We start from the raw sequence: 18,534 nt of genomic DNA, 5'->3' as shown, positions 1-18,534 counted from the left end.
AGAAAATGTGGTGTAAATACACAATGGAGTACTATTCAGCCATAAAAAAGAATGAGATCCTGTCATTTGCAACAATATGGATAGAACTGGAGGTCATTATGTTAAGTGAAATAAATCAGGCACAGAAAGACAAACATCACATGTTCTCACTTGTGGGATCCAACAATCAAAACAATGGAACTCATGGAGATAGAGAATAGAAGGATAATTACCAGTTGGGGGTGTGGAGGAACAAAAAAATAGGAAGAACGAATAAGACCTAGTATTTAATAGCATAACAGGGTGATTGTAGTCAATAACAATTTAATTGTACTTTAAAAAATAACAAAAGGGTATAATTGGATTATTTGTAACACAAATAATAAATCCAATTTATCCAATGTGATTATTATGCATTGCATGCCTTGTGTCAAAACATCTCATGTACCCCATAGATATATACACATACTATGTGGCCAGAGGTTCACACCTGTAATCCCAGCACTTTGGGAGGCTGAGGCAGGTGGATCACGAGGTCAGGAGATCGAGACCATCCTGGCTAACATGGTGAAACCCCGTCTCTACTAAAAATACAAAAAATCAACTGGGCGTGGTGGTGGGCCCCTGTAGTCCCAGCTACTTGGGAGGCTGAGACAGGAGAATGGCGTGAACCTGGGAGGTGGAGCTTGTGGGGAGCCAAGATAGCGCCACTGCACTGCAGCCTGGGCAACAGAGCAAGACTCCATCTCAAAAAAAAAATTAAAAAAAAAAGAATTAAAAAAAATCCTGTACAGCTTCCTTCTGTATCTCTTTGCATGTTCAGCTTATCTTCCTAATTAGGCTTTAAAACACCATGATGGTTTAAACTTTTTTTTTTTAATTTCTTGAATTCTGCCTGGAGCCCGTCTTTGAGCTGGGCACACAATAAATGTTTTATAAACATTTATTTCACTTGAACTAAGGAGACATACCAGGGGTCAGGGAGTTTTAAGAAACAGCAGGGTGAGAAATTTAGAGCAATGACCTACAAAGCAAGTGGACAATGAAGAAATGGAGATATCCCAGGTCAAGAATTTTTTCTATTAAGAGAATAAGTAGAAGCTAGAGGGTGGGAAGGTAGATAAATAGAAGATGAGTAAAATAAAATGATGATTATTCTCAAGACAGGGAGTCTGTTGGTTTTTCCTCACGGAGGTGGCACTAATAGGAAGGATAGAAGATTCTAAGAGAGGGGCAGTAAGAGAGAAAACACGTGGCCGGGGAGGCTGAAGGGGATGAATGGGGCATTGAATAGAATGGATGAGCCAGAAGGGGCGAGGTACAGAAACTTCATAGATAGCCAGTCCTAGCCATTTTTTTAGACAGTCTTGTTGTGTCACCCAGGCTGGAGTACAGTGGTGCTACCACAGTTTATTGAAGCCTCAACCTCTTGGGCTCAAGTGATCCTCCCACCTCAGCCTCCTGAGTAGTCCTAGATATTTTTATGGATGCATCAAGGTTGGGAAGTGATCACTTCATTCTGTCCCTAATTAACACAGTAGTTTTGGTTTTGAAGGGGTTAAACTGGGAAGACAAGCACATAAGCATAAGAGAAAGAATGGGAGGAGGAAACAGGCAGATTGTATCTCTAATGCTGGATAACCTGAGTTTTTTTTAGAGAATCCTGAGGCATCTTCTGCCACGGCAGGGGCAGGGATTCGGAGCAGCTGCTATGGTTATTGCTGGGGGCATTGACGAGCAAGCTGTTAAAAGACTTAGGAACCAGTAGAATTTACATAGTAAGTTCCATGCAAAAGGCCACTAGCACATGGTTCCATCATTTTCTCCAGTCAACATCCTGGAGGTAAGACAATGGAAAGTTTCAGTAAGGAAGCATAGAACCAGTTCCTACTCTCACTGTTCTGCACTGTCCCTCTGCCAATGCTGGGAAATACCAGGATACAAAACTGTATCAAAGGTAGGCCAACACACAATCTGGTGGAGAAGACAGATAGATATGGAAAGCAGTGTTATGGTAAAACGGATTCATGCTACAACTGCACAGACCCATATGGGTTATCTGGATCTAGTCCTATCTTACAGATAGGGAAATGAAGTCCAAAAGAAAAACCAAAAAACAAAAAAGACTACCCCTAACCTCCTTCTCTCCAGACTGAGAATTCCAAGGTCACTTTTCCTTTCTCCATGTGACCTGTGGGCTATACGACCTGTGCTGATGTTTCCAGTTCCTTTGAAGGACAGGGCAGTGAAATCTTAAATGTATCCAACAGTGTTACTCTGTTTCATCTCCTGTGAAGGCTCATACTTCTCCACCCAGTTTTTAAAATGTTTGGTGGAGATGTGAGAACCTCCAGAGGAGATGGAAAAGAGGCAAGCAGAGAAGTGTGAAGGAAACCAGGATCATCCAGTGTGAGATACAAAGAAAGAGGCTGAGACACTTGAAATGAAAGATGAATGATGAGTTACAAAACAAAGTTTAAAATGTGTTTATTGGAATTCATATCATGGAAGTCAGTTGTAAACTTGGGAAGAGATGTTGAAATGATAGAAACAGAAATCAAAATAAAGTGGGTTGAGAAGAAATTAGGAGGGCAGTAAGGAGGTATGGAGAAGTGTCAACCACTTTGAAGAGTTTGACTGTGAAAGGAGAGTTGGAATGTTTCTGGATGGGGATCTCAGGGATTTGAGAGTGAAAGAAGGTTAAGGTTTCTCCTCCTCTCTCTATTTCCTACCCCAACCTCACCCCCAATTCCTAGTAAGTGAGGTTGGGATTCCTAGTGCAGTCACTGGCCTTGAAGGTAGGAGGAAGAAAAGGTTGGGGCAGATGTAGAGTTTCACATTTTATAGTACTTTAAACCACAACACAGTATAACACAAAATGCAAATTGTATAAAATCCCATTAAATATTTCCAGTCATAGACAGTTTTGAATACTACTATTATTTAATTTTACAATGTCAATATCCAGTATCTGTTTTCCTTATTAAATATAAATGGGCCAACTCAAAATTATTAAATTTAAAAGTACATTGAGGGCCAGGTGGGGTGGCTCACACCTGTAATCCCAGCACTTTCGGAGGCCGAGGTGGGCAGATCACCTGAGGTCAGGAGTTTGAGACCAGCCTGGCCAACTTGGCGAAACACTATCTCTACTAAAAATAAAAAAATTAGCCAGACATGGTGGTGGATACCTGTAATCCCAGCTGTAATCCCAGCTACTTGGGAGGCTGAGGCAGGAGAATTGCTTGAACCCAGGAGGCATAGATTGCAGTGAACTGAGATCATGCCACTGCATTCCAGCCTGGGTGACAGAGCAAGACTCCATCTCAAAAAAAAAAAAAAAAAAAAAGAGTATATTGAGGTCAACTAAAGTCATTTAAACTTCACCTTCCCCATCTGATGAAAGAGTTTATTTGCTTAACATCAAATTAAATAAATTGCTATTTTGGATAATAAGTTAAACAATTAACTTACTCAATAGTAAGTCAAATGCCTTAAGCAATTCTCATATTTGTCCAACTTGGGTGTATTTCAAAAATAATAATATTGTTTGAACATCACATAAGTAATGTAACTTATGGTGTAACTGACACATCAGCTTCTGCCAAGTTAGACTCTTATCTGGAATAATAATAATATCAAATAACACTGAACTCTTACTATGTGCCAGGAATCTTACATGTGCTATCTCTGTTGTCCCAAGTAGGCCTCACTATTTCCGCTTTACAAATGAGCAAGTTGAAGCCTGAGAAACGAAATAACTTGACCTTGGTCATATGTGGCTCCCAAAGTCTGTCTTCTGTATCACACTGTGCCTCCAATGCATCCTAAGACCTCTCCCCTACCACTTTTTGACATTACGCAGACATATATAGTGAGTCATAAATTTGCCAAAATTTATGGCAACCAGCAGCTCTTGGGGCTGCTTTGCCTATTGAGTAGCCATTCTTTATTCCTTTACCTTCCCAATAAACTTGCTTTCACTTTAAAAGCAAACACCACCACCAACAAACTCGGAATGAACCAGCCACAACAGCCTACCATCGAGAAAACGGTATGGTGACCTTTCCCCTAGAGTGAAGCTGAAAGCTGGTAACTACTTATTTATGTGCTGATACAGAAAAACAACAACAACAAAACGTAGGAAAAAAAATGTTTAAATGTATAGAAATAAGTAGGAAGACTAAGTAAAGGACTTTATTTTTTGTTAGAGACAATGCAACTTTGGGCAAACTGACTCTTAGACTTGTAATTTTTTAAAAACTCACTCCCAAGTACCAGGAAGTGGAAACTATAAGAGCTTACCTAATATGTCACTTTTACATATCTTTTATCTTTCAGTCCTCCAGACCACTCTGTGAAATACAGGGCAGTATAAGCCTCATTTCACAAATAAGGACAAATAAGCTAAAAAACCTTGGTCCCTGGATCAGTGGGCTCTTGGGAGCTGTTGCAAAGGGACTGGCATGTGTATTACTTCACATCTATGCCAGACCTTTTTTTTTTCAGTCTGGTTTTTTCTTTCTTTGAATATCGATAGTTTTTTTTATTATTATACTTTAAGTTCTAGTGTACATGTGCACAACGTGCAGGTTTGTTACGTACGTATACATGTGCCATGTTGGTGTGCTGCACCCATTAACTCGTCATTTACCTTAGGTATTTCTCCTAATACTATCCCTCCCCACTCCCCTCACCCCATGACAGGCCCTGGTGTGCGATGTTCCCCACCCTGTGTCCAAGTGTTCTCATTGTTCAATTCCCACCTATAAGCGAGAACATACAGTGTTTGGTTTTCTGTCCTTGTGATAGTTTGCTGAGAATACTGGTTTCCAGCTTCATCCGTGTCCCTACAAAGGACATGAACTCATCTTTTTTATGGCTGCTTAGTATTCAATGGTGTATATGTGCCACATTTTCTTAATCCAGTCTATCATTGTTGGACATTTGTGTTGGTTCCAAGTCTTTGCTATTGTGAATAGTGCCACAATAAGCATACATGTGCATGTGTCTTTATAGCAGCGTGATTTATAATCCTTTGGGTATATACCCAGTAATGGGATAGCAGGGTCAAATGGTATTTCTAGTTCTAGATCCTTGAGGAATCGCCACACTGTCTTCCACAATGATTGAACTAGTTTACAGTCCCACCAACAGTGTAAAAGTGTTCCTATTTCTCCACCTCCTCTCCAGCACCTGTTGTTTCCTGACTTTTTAATGATCGCCATTCTAACTGGTGTGAGATGGTATCTCATTGTGGTTTTGATTTGCATTTCTCCGATGGCCAGTGATGATGAGCATCTTTTCATGTGTCTTTTGGCTGCATAAATGTCTTCTTTTGAGAAGTGTCTGTTCGTATCCTTTGTCCACTTTTTGATGGGGTTGTTTGATTTTTTCTTGTAAATTTATTTAAGTTCTTTGTAGATTCTGGATATTAGCCATTTGCCAGATGGGTAGATTGTAAAAATTTTTTCCCATTCTGTAGGTTGCCTGTTCAGTCTGATGGTAGTTTCTTTTGCTGTGCAGAAACTCTTTAGTTTAATTAGATCACATTTGTCAATTTTGGCTTTTGTTGCCATTGCTTTTGGTGTTTTAGTCATAAAGTCCTTGCCCATACCTATGTTCTGAATGGTATTGCCTAGGTTTTCTTCTAGGGTTTTTATGGTTTTAGGTCTAACATTTAAGTCTTTAATCCATCTTGAATTAATTTTTGTATAAAGTGTAAGGAAGAGATCCAGTTTCAGCTTTCTACATATGGCTAGCCAGTTTTCCCAGCACCATTTATTAAATAGGGAATCCTTTCCCCATTTCTTGTTTTTGTCAGGTTTGTCAAAGATCAGATGGATGTAGATGTGTGGTATTATTTCTGAGGGCTCTGTTCTGTTCCATTGGTCTATATCTCTGTTTTGGTACCAGTACCATGCTGTTTTGGTTACTGTAGCCTTGTAGTATAGCTTGAAGTCAGATAGCATTATGCCTCCAGCTTTGTTCTTTTGGCTTAGGGTTGTCTTGGCAATGCGGGCTGTTTTTTGGTTCTCTATGAACTTTAAAGTAGTATTTTCTAATTCTGTGAAGAAAGTCATTGGTAGCTTGATGGGGATGGCATTGAATCTATAAATTACCATGGGCAGTATAGCCATTTTCACGATATTGATTCTTCCTACCCGTGAGCATGGAATGTTAGTCCATTTGTTTGTATCCTCTTTTATTTCATTGAACAGTGGTTTGTAGTTCTCCTTGAAGAGGTCCTTCACGTCCCTTGTAAGTTGGATTCCTAGGTATTTCATTCTCTTTGAAGCAATTGTGAATGGGAGATCACTGATGATTTGGCTCTCTGTCTGTTATTGGTGTATAAGAATGCTTGTGATTTTTGCACATTGATTTTGTATCCTGAGACTTTGCTGAAGTTGCCTATCAGCTTAAGGAGATTTTGGGCTGAGACGATGGGGTTTTCTAGATATACAATCATGTCATCTGCAAACAGGGACAATTTGACTTTCTCTTTTCCTAATTGAATGCCCTTTATTTCCTTCTCCTGCCTGATTGCCCTGGCCAGAACTTCCAACACTATGTTGAATAGGAGTGGTGAGAGAGGGCATCCCTGTCTTGTGCCAGTTTTCAAAGGGAGTGCTTCCAGTTTTTGCCCATTCAGTATGATATTGGCTGTGGGTTTGTCATAGATAGCTCTTATTATTTTGAGATATGTCTTATCCATACCTAATTTATTGAGAGTTTTTAGCATGAAGGTTGTTGAATTTTGTCAAAGGCCTTTTCTGCATTTATTGAGATAATTATGTGGTTTTTGTTGTTGGTTCTGTTTATATGCTGGATTACATTTATTGATTTGCGTATGTTGAACCAGCCTTGCATACCAGGGTTGAAGCCCACTTGATCACTGTGGATAAGCTTTTTGATGTGCTGCTGGATTCGGTTTGCTAGTATTTTATTGAGGATTTTTGCATCGATGTTCATCAGGGATATTGGTCTAAAATTCTCTTTTTTTGTTGTGTCTCTGCCAGGCTTTGGTATCAGGATGATGCTGGCCTCATAAAATGAGTTAGGGAGGATTCCCTCTTTCTCTATTGATTGGAAGAGTTTCAGAAGGAATGGTACCAGCTCCTCCTTGTACCTCTGCTAGAATTCGGCTGTGAATCCATCTGGTGCTGGACTTTTTTTGTTTGGTAAGTTATTAATTATTGCCTCAATTTCAGAGCCTGTTATTGGTCTATTCAGACATTCACCTTCTTCCTGGTTTATTCTTGGGAAGGTGTATGTGTCGAGGAATTTATCCATTGCTTCTAGATCTTCTAGTTTATTTGCATAGAAGTGTTTATAGTATTCCCTGATGGTAGTTTGTATTTCTGTGGGATAGGTGGTGATATCCCCTTTATCACTTTTTATTGCATCTATTTGATTCTTCTCTCTTTTCTTCTTTATTAGTCTTGCTAGTGGTCTATCAATTTTGTTGATCTTTTCAAAAAACCAGCTCTGGGATTCATTGATTTTTTGAAGGGTTTTTTGTGTCTCTATTTCCTTCAGTTCTGCTCTGATCTTAGTTATTTCTTGCCTTCTGCTAGCTTTTGAACGTGTTTGTTCTTGCTTCTCTAGTTCTTTTAATTGTGATGTTAGGGTGTCAATTTTAGATCTTTCCTGCTTTCTTTTGTGAGCATTTATTGCTATAAATTTCCCTCTACACACTGCTTTGAATGTGTCCCATAAATTCTGGTATGTTGTGTCTTTGGTCTCGTTGGTTTCAAAGAACATCTTTATTTCTGCCTTCATTTCTTTATGTACCAGGTAGTCATTCAGGAGCAGGTTGTTCAGTTTCCATGTAGTTGAGCGGTTTTGAGTGAGTTTCTTAATCCTGAGTTCTAGTTTGATTGCACTGTGGTCTGAGAGACAGTTTGTTATAATTTCTGTTCTTTTTGAGGAGTGCTTTACTGCCAACTATGTGGTCAATTTTGGAATAGGTGTGGTGTGGTGCTGAAAAGAATGTATATTCTGTTGATCTTGGGTGGAGAGTTCTGTAGATGTCTATTAGATCCACTTGGTGCAGAGCTGAGTTCAATTCCTGGATATCCTTGTTAACTTTCTGTTTCGTTGATCTGTCTAATGTTCACAGTGGGGTGTTAAAGTCTCCCATTATTGTGTGGGAGTCTAAGTCTCTTTGTAGGTCTCTAAGGACTTGCTTTATGAATCTGGGTGCTCCTGTATTGAGTGCATATATATTTAGGATAGTTAGCTCTTCTTGTTGTATTGATCCCTTTACCATTATGTAATGGCCTTCTTTGTGTCTTTTGATTTTTGTTGGTTTAAAGTCTGTTTTATCAGAGACTAGGATTGCAACCCCTGCCTTTTTGTTTCCATTTGTTTGGTAGATCTTCCTCCATCCCTTTATTTTGAGCCTATGTGTGTCTCTGCACATGAGATGGGTTTCCTGAATACAGCACACTGATGGGTCTTGACTCTTTATCCAATTTGCCAGTCTGTGTCTTTTAATTGGAGCATTTAGCCCATTTACATTTAAGGTTAATATTGTTATGTGTGAATTTGATCCTGTCATTATGATGTTAGCTGTTTATTTTGCTCATTAGTTGATGCAGTTTTTTCCTGCCCTTGATGGTCTTTACAATGTGGCATGTTTTTGCAGTGGCTGGTACTGGTTGTTCCTTTCCATGTTTAGTGCTTCCTTCAGGAGCTCTTGTAAGGCAGGCCTGCTGGTGACAAAATCTCTCAGCATTTGCTTGTCTGTAAAGTATTTTATTTCTCCTTCACTTATGAAGTTTAGTTTGGCTGGATATGAAATTCTGGGTTGAAAATTCTTTTCTTTAAGAATGTTGAATATTGGCCCCCACTCTCTTCTGGCTTGTAGAGTTTGTGCCGAGAGATCAGCTGTTAGTCTGATGGGCTTCCCTTTGTGGGTAACCCGACCTTTCTCTCTGGCTGCCCTTAACCTTTTTTCCTTCATTGCAACTTTGGTGAATCTGACAATTATGTGTCTTGGAGTTGCTCTTCTCGAGGAGTATCTTTGTGGCATTCTCTGTATTTCCTGAATCTGAATGTTGGCCTGCCTTGCTAGATTGGGGAAGTTCTCCTGGATAATATCCTGAAGAGTGTTTTCCAACTTGGTTCCCTTCTCCCCATCACTTTCAGGTACACCAATCATACATAGATTCAGTCTTTTCACATAGTCCCATATTTCTTGGAGGCTTTGTTCATTTCTTTTTATTCTTTTTTCTCTAAACTTCTCACTTCATTTCATTCATTTGATGTTCCATCACTGATACCCTTTCTTCCAGTTGATCGAATTGGCTACTGAGGCTTGTGCATTCATCACGTAGTTCTCGTGCCATGGTTTTCGGCTCCGTCAGGTCCTTTAAGGACTTCCCTGCATTGGGTTATTCTAGTTAGCCATTCGTCTAATTTTTTTTCAAGGTTTTTAACTTCTTTGCCATGGGTTTGAACTTCCTCCTTTAGCTTGGAGTAGTTTGATCATCTGAAGCCTTCTTCTCTCAACTCGTCAAAGTCATTCTCCGTCCAGCTTTGTTCCATTGCTGGTGAGGAGCTGTGTTCCTTTGGAAGAGGAGAGGCACTCTGATTTTTAGAGTTTCCAGTTTTGCTGCTTTGTTTTTTCCCCATCTTTGTGGTTTTATCTACCTTTGGTCTTTGATCATGGTGACGTACAGATGGGGTTTTGATGTGGATGTCCTTTCTGTTTGTTGGTTTTCCTTCTAACAGTCAGGACCCTCAGCTGCAGGTCTGTTGGTGTTTGCTGGAGGTCCACTCCAGACCCTGTTTGCCTGGGTATCAGCAGCGGTGGCTGCAGAACAGCGGATGTTGGTGAACAGCAAATGTTGCTGCCGGATCGTTTGCCTGGAAATTTTGTCTCAGAGGAGTACCTGGCCGTGTGAGGTGTCAGTCTGCCCCTACTGGAGGGTGCCTCCCAGTTAGGCTACTCGGGGTTTAGGGACCCACCTGAGGAGGCAGTCTGTCTGTTCTCAGATCTCCAGCTGCGTGCTGGGAGAACTACTACTCTCTTCAAAGCTGTCAGACAGGGACATTTAAGTCTGCAGAGGTTTCTGCTGCCTTTTGTTTGGCTATGCCCTGCCCCAGTGGTGGAGTCTACAGAGGCAGGCAGGTCTCCTTGAGCTGTGGTGGGCTCCACCCAGTTTGAGCTTCCCAGCCGCTTTGTTTACCTACTCAAGCCTCGGCAGTTTTGGGTGCCCTCCCCCAGCCTCGCTGCCGCCTTGCAGTTTGATCTGACTGCTGTGCTAGCAATGAGCGAGGCTCCGTGAGCATAGGACCCTCCAAGCCAGTCGCAGGATATAATCTCCTGGTGTGCCGTTTGCTAAGACCATTGGAAAAGCACAGTATTAGGGTGTGTGTGACCCAATTTTCCAGGTGCCGTCTGTCACCCCTTTCTTTGACTATGAAAGGGAATTCCCTGACCCCTTGCACTTCCTGGGTGACGCGATGACTCACCCTGCTTTGGCTCATGCTCAGTGTGTTGCATCCACTGTCCTGAACCCACTCTCTGACACTCCCCAGTGAGATGAACCCGGTACCTCAGTTGAAAATGCAGAAATCACCCATCTTCTGCATCACTCACACTGGGAGCTGTAGACTGGAGCTGTTCCTATTCGGCCATCTTGGCTCCACCTCTCTTAGATAACTTCTGAATCAGACAAAGTTATTCTTTTTCTCACTAATAACATAACGCTTTCTGGGACATTTTGTATACAGAATTATGTGTCTACTAGAATTCTTATGCTTGGTAACCTAAAACTTTAGTGAAATCCCAAAAAGCAAGAAATCCTGAACTATCAGATGTGGGCACTTATAGATAAGAACAATTCCACAGTTTTTAGAACCATATTTCCTTATATCACAAACCTTTCTTCATTGGAAATGACCCAGATATTAAATGAGGATCAAAAATAATTTTAAGATTTTAATTTACACAAAAAGTTTATGTAAAACATTTACCCCATTCACTGGACTCGATTCTTTCACTTTTAACAGTTTATCTAGATTACTTCTGTAAACTGAGATATTAGACACTATCATTTTAAAGTTAGTGATTCCCTTGTTAACCATGTTTCTAATAGCCAGTGAACATCAGGTGCTCACCTAAACCTAAGTACATGTCTCAAAGTTAAATACATAGGTATTTTTGCCAATAACTCAGGAGATTTAGCTAACATTAAATTACTCTCATTTGTCAAAAAAGGCACACAAGTCAAATCATTTTGTTTTGACTGGGCTTATAGTTTTATAACTTTCTATGCCAAACACTGACATCTCAAAATGTCTAGCAAAGACAAATATAAAATTCAGACAAAATGTATGCTGACAATTCTGAAGGCATTTCTGGTTTTGTTCCACCGATAATTTTAAAGCCAGCTTTTTTAGTAAAGTTATACTTAAGTTACCTGAACTTGAAAATTGCTTACACTTAATCATTTAATATATGACCACTCTTTTACTTATAAGCCAATTTGCTAGTCACAACATATAACAATAAGTGTACATACAAATAAACACATCTAGACTTGTATACACACATATAAATGAAGATCCAATAGCTTGGAATGCTAGCCATGAGATAGCAATAAAGCTCACCGGCTTTACTTTGCCCCAATAGATAATCCAATAAAGACTGTGATCCAAAATTTTGGGTAAAGCAGTCTCCATGGCAGTTTGATTTTTAAAGGCCAAACCCCCAGACTCCAAAGAGCACTGGGGCCAAACATCACCAAAGGAGAGCATCACACATTAACCAAGCCCCCTGCTTGGGACAGCAGCACCTAAGTCTGGATACATGCAACACCATCCCACTTTCCCATTCAATGGTAAACTCTAGATTCCAAGCAATATTGAGGCCAAACAGTATTGCAACTCCAAGAGAAAATTCTAAGGACTGCTTAGTACTAGACCTCAGAACCTCTTCTGAGTGCATCCCCTTTGGAGAGGTTGAGGTCCAGAGGATTCCTCAGGGCATCCCCCTTTGAGGTCCAATCTTAGAGTATCAGATGTCTCTGACCTTAGGTGGACACTGGTGCCAATTACATGTTTTCCCTCCAGAGGTGATGGCCTACCATGAGCTTTCCTTTTGTCCCTGGATGAAGGCCTCAACTTCTAGCCACCTTATAATTTGTGGCTTCCCATTCCACTAGTGATATAGGAACTGGAGGCTGGGTGGGTTTCTTTTGTCCTTAGCCAGTCAAGTAGGGTAAGGGAAGAATTTAGCATAAGAAAACAAAGTTTAAATAATCTGAAACATGTGCACATTTGCGCTGAGCTGCACCACATGTAGGGATAAGGGACCACAACTGGAAAAGATAGAAAAGAGTCCTTCCTCCTTCCAGCCAGGGCAATTATCTGCCTTTACTCCTTGGCTTTCAGGCAACACAAAAGAGTGGCTGCAGCCAGGTGGCCTCAATTTCCAAGGAGCTACTAGAAACAGCAGCTGAAAGACAGAAAAAGAAATAAATAAATTAAAAAAAAAAGGCAAAAAGACTCAGGTCCTTTAAGCTAACAGGCAGTTGCAGCTAGGCACCTCCACATGGAAACCTCTTAATTTCACTGGCCATGGCCAGACATCTGCAGTTGCCTCTGGGTTTAGGTGCTGCCCACCAAGGGTCCTGAGTTGGAAAGGAAAAGAGAGAGAGAGGGAGAGATTCCTTTGTATGAAGCAGAAAGGAAAAGGTGAAAAATAAATCCCAAACTTTGGGCTTACCTCCTGGCTGGCTCACTAGAATATGTTACTGGTGGAGGGTGTCTAGGTTCTTGGTGTCTTGAACAAAGAATTGGACAAAACACACAAAGCAAGGAAAGAATGAAGCAACAAAAGCAAAGCTCTATTGAAAATGAAAGTACGCTCCACAAGATGGGAGCGGCCCCGAGCACAGGGGCTCAAGAGCCCCGTTACAGAATTTTCTGGGGTTTAAATACCCTTTACAGGTTTCCATTGGTTGCTTGGTATACACCCTATGTAAATGAAGAGGATAAAGTTACAAAGACATTTACTAGGTGTACACCCTATGTAAATGGAGAAGATATTTCCTAGCATAGCTGAAGTGTTTCCATTTGATTTAGTTCTAGGAAGCCAGCATGAATTAGCCTTATGTTCTCTGTCTCCAGACCCCATTTTCTTGGCTCAAGTTGAGACTGTTAGCTACCTGTTGTGAAGGCATGATTGTATTTTGTAACGTGAGAAGGATCTGAGATTTTTTGGCGGGGACGGTGGAGAGGGAAGGGTAGAATGATATAGTTTGGATATTTATCTCTGCTCAAATCTCATGTTGAAATATCCTATTGTTGGAGGTGGGTCCTGGCGGGAGGTGTTTGGGTTATGGGGGCAGATCCTTCACGGCTTGGTGCTGTCCTCACAATAGTGAGTAAGTTCTTGTGAGACCTGGTTGTTGTAAAGTGTGGCACCTCCCCACCCTACTCTCTCTCTTGCTCCTGGCTTTGCCCTGTGATGTGCCTGCTCCCACTTTGCCTTATGACATGAGTAAAAACCCCCTTAGGTCTTTCCAGAAGCTGAGCAGTTGCCGGCATCATGCTTGTACAGCCTGCAGAATCATGAGCCAATTAAATATTTTTTAAAAATAAATTACTCTTAGCCTCAGGTATTTATGGTAATTCAAGAATGGCCTAATCCAACAATTAAGAGGAGATGGAAATTGCAGGGACCTGTGGTTTCTGACACCGGTAGCTCCTCTGAGCCATACAGTTCACCCAATATGGGGACAATTTCTGGCTCAAGTTAAGTGCCGGGAGACAGCAGGAGCCTGGATCACTTTCCAGGTCCACAGAAACAGTTCCAAATTTCTAACTTCTGCTGATTGATTCAGAATGATCTCCCTGTGATCAATTGCCCTTTACTCCAATCCAATGATGAGAACTAAATGAAAGTTTTCATTGATCTGTGTTTCTCTTGGTGACAGAGAAACCAACAGACCAGGAGCTAAAACAATTTCAGAAATGGGTAGATTTCTGAATCTACCCAAAGAGAGATTTCTGTGATCCTGTTCTCACTTGCTGTGGGGGGCGCAAAGTTCACTTCCTATTATATGACCCTGACAAGATGGAGGTGATTCTAGGGAGATCAAGTGAGAGAGAAACCACACTCCAGCTGTAGCAGCTCTTCCCTCTTGTGTACATGCCTCTGGATCTGTCTTGCCAAACAAATGTCCACTGCATTATAATATTCACATATTTATAACTACTTTTTAATTTGACAAAATTGTTTAGATGCAGTGGGATCTCTATAGCATAGTCCAATAGTCCACATATCACAATATTGGCAGAAACACCAAAATGAGGACAATAAACCGTGTTTGAGGAAAACTCCCTTTTTAGCATATAACACATAGCATTTGAAGGATCCTGTTGTGTAAAACATAAAACACATTTGAATGAGCTATTCAGCTGGACACATACACTCCAAAATGGATGCTTTAGAAATTCTCAAAGGCTGCAGGAATGGTCCTTTGAAGTACAAATGCAAAAAAGGATGTAAACAGTAGAAACAAGGTTTTTCTAAATAAGTAATTCTGTAAATTCCCTAATGATGACTCCAATTTCACAGGACAGGCTTCAAGCAAATTGTTCTTACAGACAGTAATTTTTAGGCATTGGTTTATCCCAGGATGAGAACTTCCTCCTAAGCATTGGCTGCCAATCATGTCACTGCCACTAGAGGACAGGAGAGCATCCCTAAGCTCAATTTCTAGCTCAGAACTAAGAATTATTCTCACTGTATTCCATTCGATTTTATTCATTTTTCAAAACCTAAGCAACTTCATTCAAATATAAAAGTGTTTATTAAGCCTACCTCTGTGGGTCAAGTCCTGTGCAGTGTGATGGGAAAAGAGAGATAACAGGTACTGACCCTGCCTTGAAGAGTTCATAGTCAAGGACAAAAATGTGTTGTACAGAAATACATCCTATGCTCCAGACACATTGCTCCCTTATCCGTTCTTTCACTCACTCGGTCACTAAATGAATGGCTCATTGAGTGTCCCTGTCCCTGGCACTGTCCTAGGCACTCAATTATAACTGTCAGTGGATAAATCACGAACGCTGCCTGGATGTTTAGAGAGGGAGAGGCACAGCCAATAGAGGGCGAGAGGAAGCTGGGCCCTGGCCTTAGCCTTGACGATGCAGAAGGCAGAGGTGGAGGGAGGATGTTCTCAGCCATCTCCACATGAAGAGGGTTAGGACATGGGTTGGACAGGTAAGAAGTGGGTGAGGCAACAGGCCATGGAGGGTTTGGCTGCCAGATGAGGTATTGGGACGCTGTCCCCGCTGTGATGAAGAGCGTGGGAGGGTCTGAGCTGGACTGTGGCTTCAGTGTGGAGGAAGGAGAAGCAGGGATCCAGAAAGTCCAGGCAAGAAGACTGAGGGATGACAAAGAAGAAAAACTTCTGAAGTAGAATTAGAAAGCTACAGGTGCTATTGGACCGAGGCGTAAGGGCAAGGCAGGAGCTTAGACCCTGGAGTGGGAGGCAGGTGGGGCAACAGCTGAGGACCACCCACCCACTGCCCCTCTAGGAAGCCTCCCCAAAGCCCTTCTGACTCCGCTGCCCATACCCGCCTTGGCCCAGCTCTGAGGATCTGGGTGCCTGTCGGTCTCCCTATAAAGGGAACGCCTGATTATGGCCCATCCTCACCCTACAGTGACCTGAACTGGCCTCCACACTAGGGAACCAGAAATGTTTGTGGAAGAGTGAACAAACCATTGATTAACTCTTTATCCATCCATGTGATTAGACTCTGTGCCTTAGAGCCCAGGCCCTGTCCTGACAGAGTGGTTCAGGCCTGCTGAGAGCAGAGGTAGGAATTAAGAGCAAGACTGGTAGGTTCTGTCCAAGGTCAGGGGAAAGTGTGAACCAAGGCTTGGATAAATGAAGGTGGACCCTGAATACTCAGCTTCAGACTGGAGCTTACAGGCCAGAGCCTGTCCAGTACAAAATGGGGCCTGAAACCACATCTCAATTCATTGTCTCTGCCTGGCTCAGGAACTGCATCGGGAAACAATTTGCCATGAACGAGCTTAAGGTGGCCCTGACCCTACTCAACTTTAAGCTGTTTTCTGATCCTGCCAGTATCCCTATCCTCTTACCACAAATGGTGTTGAAATTCAACAATGGGATACACCTGCATGTTAAGAGGCTCCCTAATACTTGTGAGGACAAGAACCAGATCTGAAGTCCTCTACATGCCATCCTTTCTTTCTGTTCCCTGCTTGTTTGCCTATATCCTTCTTTCTATCCACCCACCTGCCTTCTTCCCACCTGTATGTTGTCCTGCCTTCTGTACCCCAGTCTGTCTGCAATTCTCTCCCTCACCTTTCTCCAGGCTCCCTACCTGCTTCTCTACCTGTCTCCTACCCAACTGCATCCCTGAATCCCCACCCAACTCCCAATTTCTGCCTGCCCTCCAGCTTGTCTGCCCCTATATCTGTCTTCTTTCTTCTGCCTGCTTGTCTGTATCCGTAGAGGTTTCTTATTGCCACTATAATAAACTACCACAACCTCAGTGATTTAAAATAATATCTTTTTATTCTCTTATAGTTCTGGAGGTCAAAGTTGGAAATGGGTTTCTATGAGTGAAAACAAGTTGTGGGCCGGGCCAAACCCCCCAGAAAGCATAGAGGAGAGTCCATCCCATAGGCCTTTCACCTCTAGAGCTGCCTTTCTTGCATTACTGGCCGCTTGTATTTATCTGTTTTCACACTGCTAAAAAGATACTACCTGACACTGAGTTGTTTATAACAAAAGAAGGTTTCATTGACTCACAGTTCTGCATGACTAGGGAGGCCTCAGGAAACATAAAATCATGGTGGAAGGCAAAGGAGAGTCAAAGCGCACCTTACATGGTAGTAGGTGAGGGACAGAGCATGAAAGGGAATTGCCAAACACCTCTAAAATCATCAGATCTTGTGAGAACTCCCCTCATTATCATGAGAACAGCATGGAGGAAACCACCTCCATGATCCGATCACCTCCCACCAGGTCCCTCCTTGACACATGGGGATTACAATTCAAGATGAGATTTGAGTAGGGGTACAGAGCCAAACCACATCATTCCACCCCGGCCCCTCTCAAATCTCATGTCCTTCTCACATTTCAAAACCAATCATGCCTTCCCAATCATCCCACAAAGTCTTAACTCATTCTAGCATTAACTCAAAAGTCCAGCTCCAAATTCTCATCTGAGACAAGGCAAGTCCCTTGTCACCAAAGAGATAGGGATGGTGGACAAGGAGGGGGTAAAACTGGATATCCATATGTGATTGAAGATGGACCCTTTCCTATACCATGTACAAGTTAAAAAAAAAAAAGAAAAAGAGTTAAAAGACAGCCCACAAATTGCAGAATGTATTCATAGTATTCAGCTCTAAATGCCTACATCAAAAATATAAAAAGATCTCAAATTAACAACCTAATGCCACACCTAAGGAACTATAAAAACAATAACAAACCCAAAGCAACTAGAAGAAAAGAAATAACAAAGATCAGAGCAGAACTAAATAAAATCGAGACCAAAAAATCATACAAAGGACCAATGTGAAAAGTTGGTTATTTGAAACCATAAACAAAGTTGATAGACCACTAGGTAGATGAACAAAGAAAAAAAGAGAGGAGATTGAAATAAGAACAATCAGAAATAACAAAGGTAACATTACAACTGATAACACAGAAATAAAAAAGATCCTCAGCGACTACTATAAACATCTCAATACACACAAACTAGAAAGCCTAGTGGAAGTGGGAAAACTCCTGGAAACACAAAATCCCAAGATTGAACCAGGAAGACATTGAAATTTTGAATATGTCAATTATAAGTTACAAAATTGAATCAGTAATAAAAAGTCTACCTATCAAGAAAAGTCTGGGGCCAGATGGGTTACAGCCAAATACTACCAGGTGAACAGAGAAGAGCTGGTATTGAATTTACTGAAACAATCTCCAAAATTCATATGGAGCTGAAAAAAGAAGCCAAATAGCTAAAGTGTTCTCAGCACCAAAACACACACACACACACACACACACACACACACACACACACAAAGAAAGCAAGCCCAAGGCATCAAATTACCTAATTTAAAATTCTACTACAAGGCTATAGTAACCAAATCAACATGGTACTTGTACAAAAATAGACACATAGATCAATGGGACAGAATAGAGAGCCTAGAAATAAAGCCACATACCTATACAAACCAGATCTTCAAGAAAGGCACCAAAAATAAATAATGGGGAAAGAATACCCAATTCAATAAATGATACTGGGAAAACTGGCTAGCTATATACAAAATAAAACTGGACTCCTACTTCTCACCATATACAAAAATTCACTCAAGATGGATTAAAGATTTAAATATGAGACATGAAAGTATAAAAATCCTAGAAGAAAACTTAGGAAATACTCTTCTGGCCAATACAAAGAATTTATGACTAAGATCTCATAAGCAAATGCAACCAAAACAGAAATAAACAAACTGGACTTAATAAAACTAAAGATCTTCTCCACAGCAAAAGA

General features: G+C 41.2%; 1 protein-coding gene and 2 pseudogenes across 2 annotated transcripts in view; 2 read left to right on the top strand and 1 right to left on the bottom strand.

Annotated features, from left to right (window-relative positions):
- CYP4X1 (cytochrome P450 family 4 subfamily X member 1) overlaps window positions 1–18,534 on the bottom strand; it is a 94,069-nt gene that overhangs the window by 38,345 nt on the left and 37,190 nt on the right. Inside the window, exon 1 of one of the 2 annotated variants that reach the window (NM_001320290.2) lies at window positions 12,719–12,902. The exons of the other annotated variant lie outside the window; for it this stretch is intronic. The gene's annotated coding sequence lies outside the window, so the exon portion shown is untranslated. Of the gene's footprint in view, window positions 1–12,718; window positions 12,903–18,534 lie in introns of those variants that run through there. 2 annotated transcript variants of the gene reach the window in all.
- CYP4A44P (cytochrome P450 family 4 subfamily A member 44, pseudogene) lies at window positions 13,940–14,093 on the top strand (annotated as a pseudogene).
- CYP4A27P (cytochrome P450 family 4 subfamily A member 27, pseudogene) lies at window positions 16,001–16,190 on the top strand (annotated as a pseudogene).

Source organism: Homo sapiens, chromosome 1 (assembly GCF_000001405.40).
Source record: "Homo sapiens chromosome 1, GRCh38.p14 Primary Assembly".
Lineage (NCBI taxonomy): Eukaryota > Metazoa > Chordata > Mammalia > Primates > Hominidae > Homo > Homo sapiens.
The sequence above is the reverse complement of the archived record's forward strand: the minus strand, read 5'-3'. Positions and strand labels throughout refer to the sequence as shown.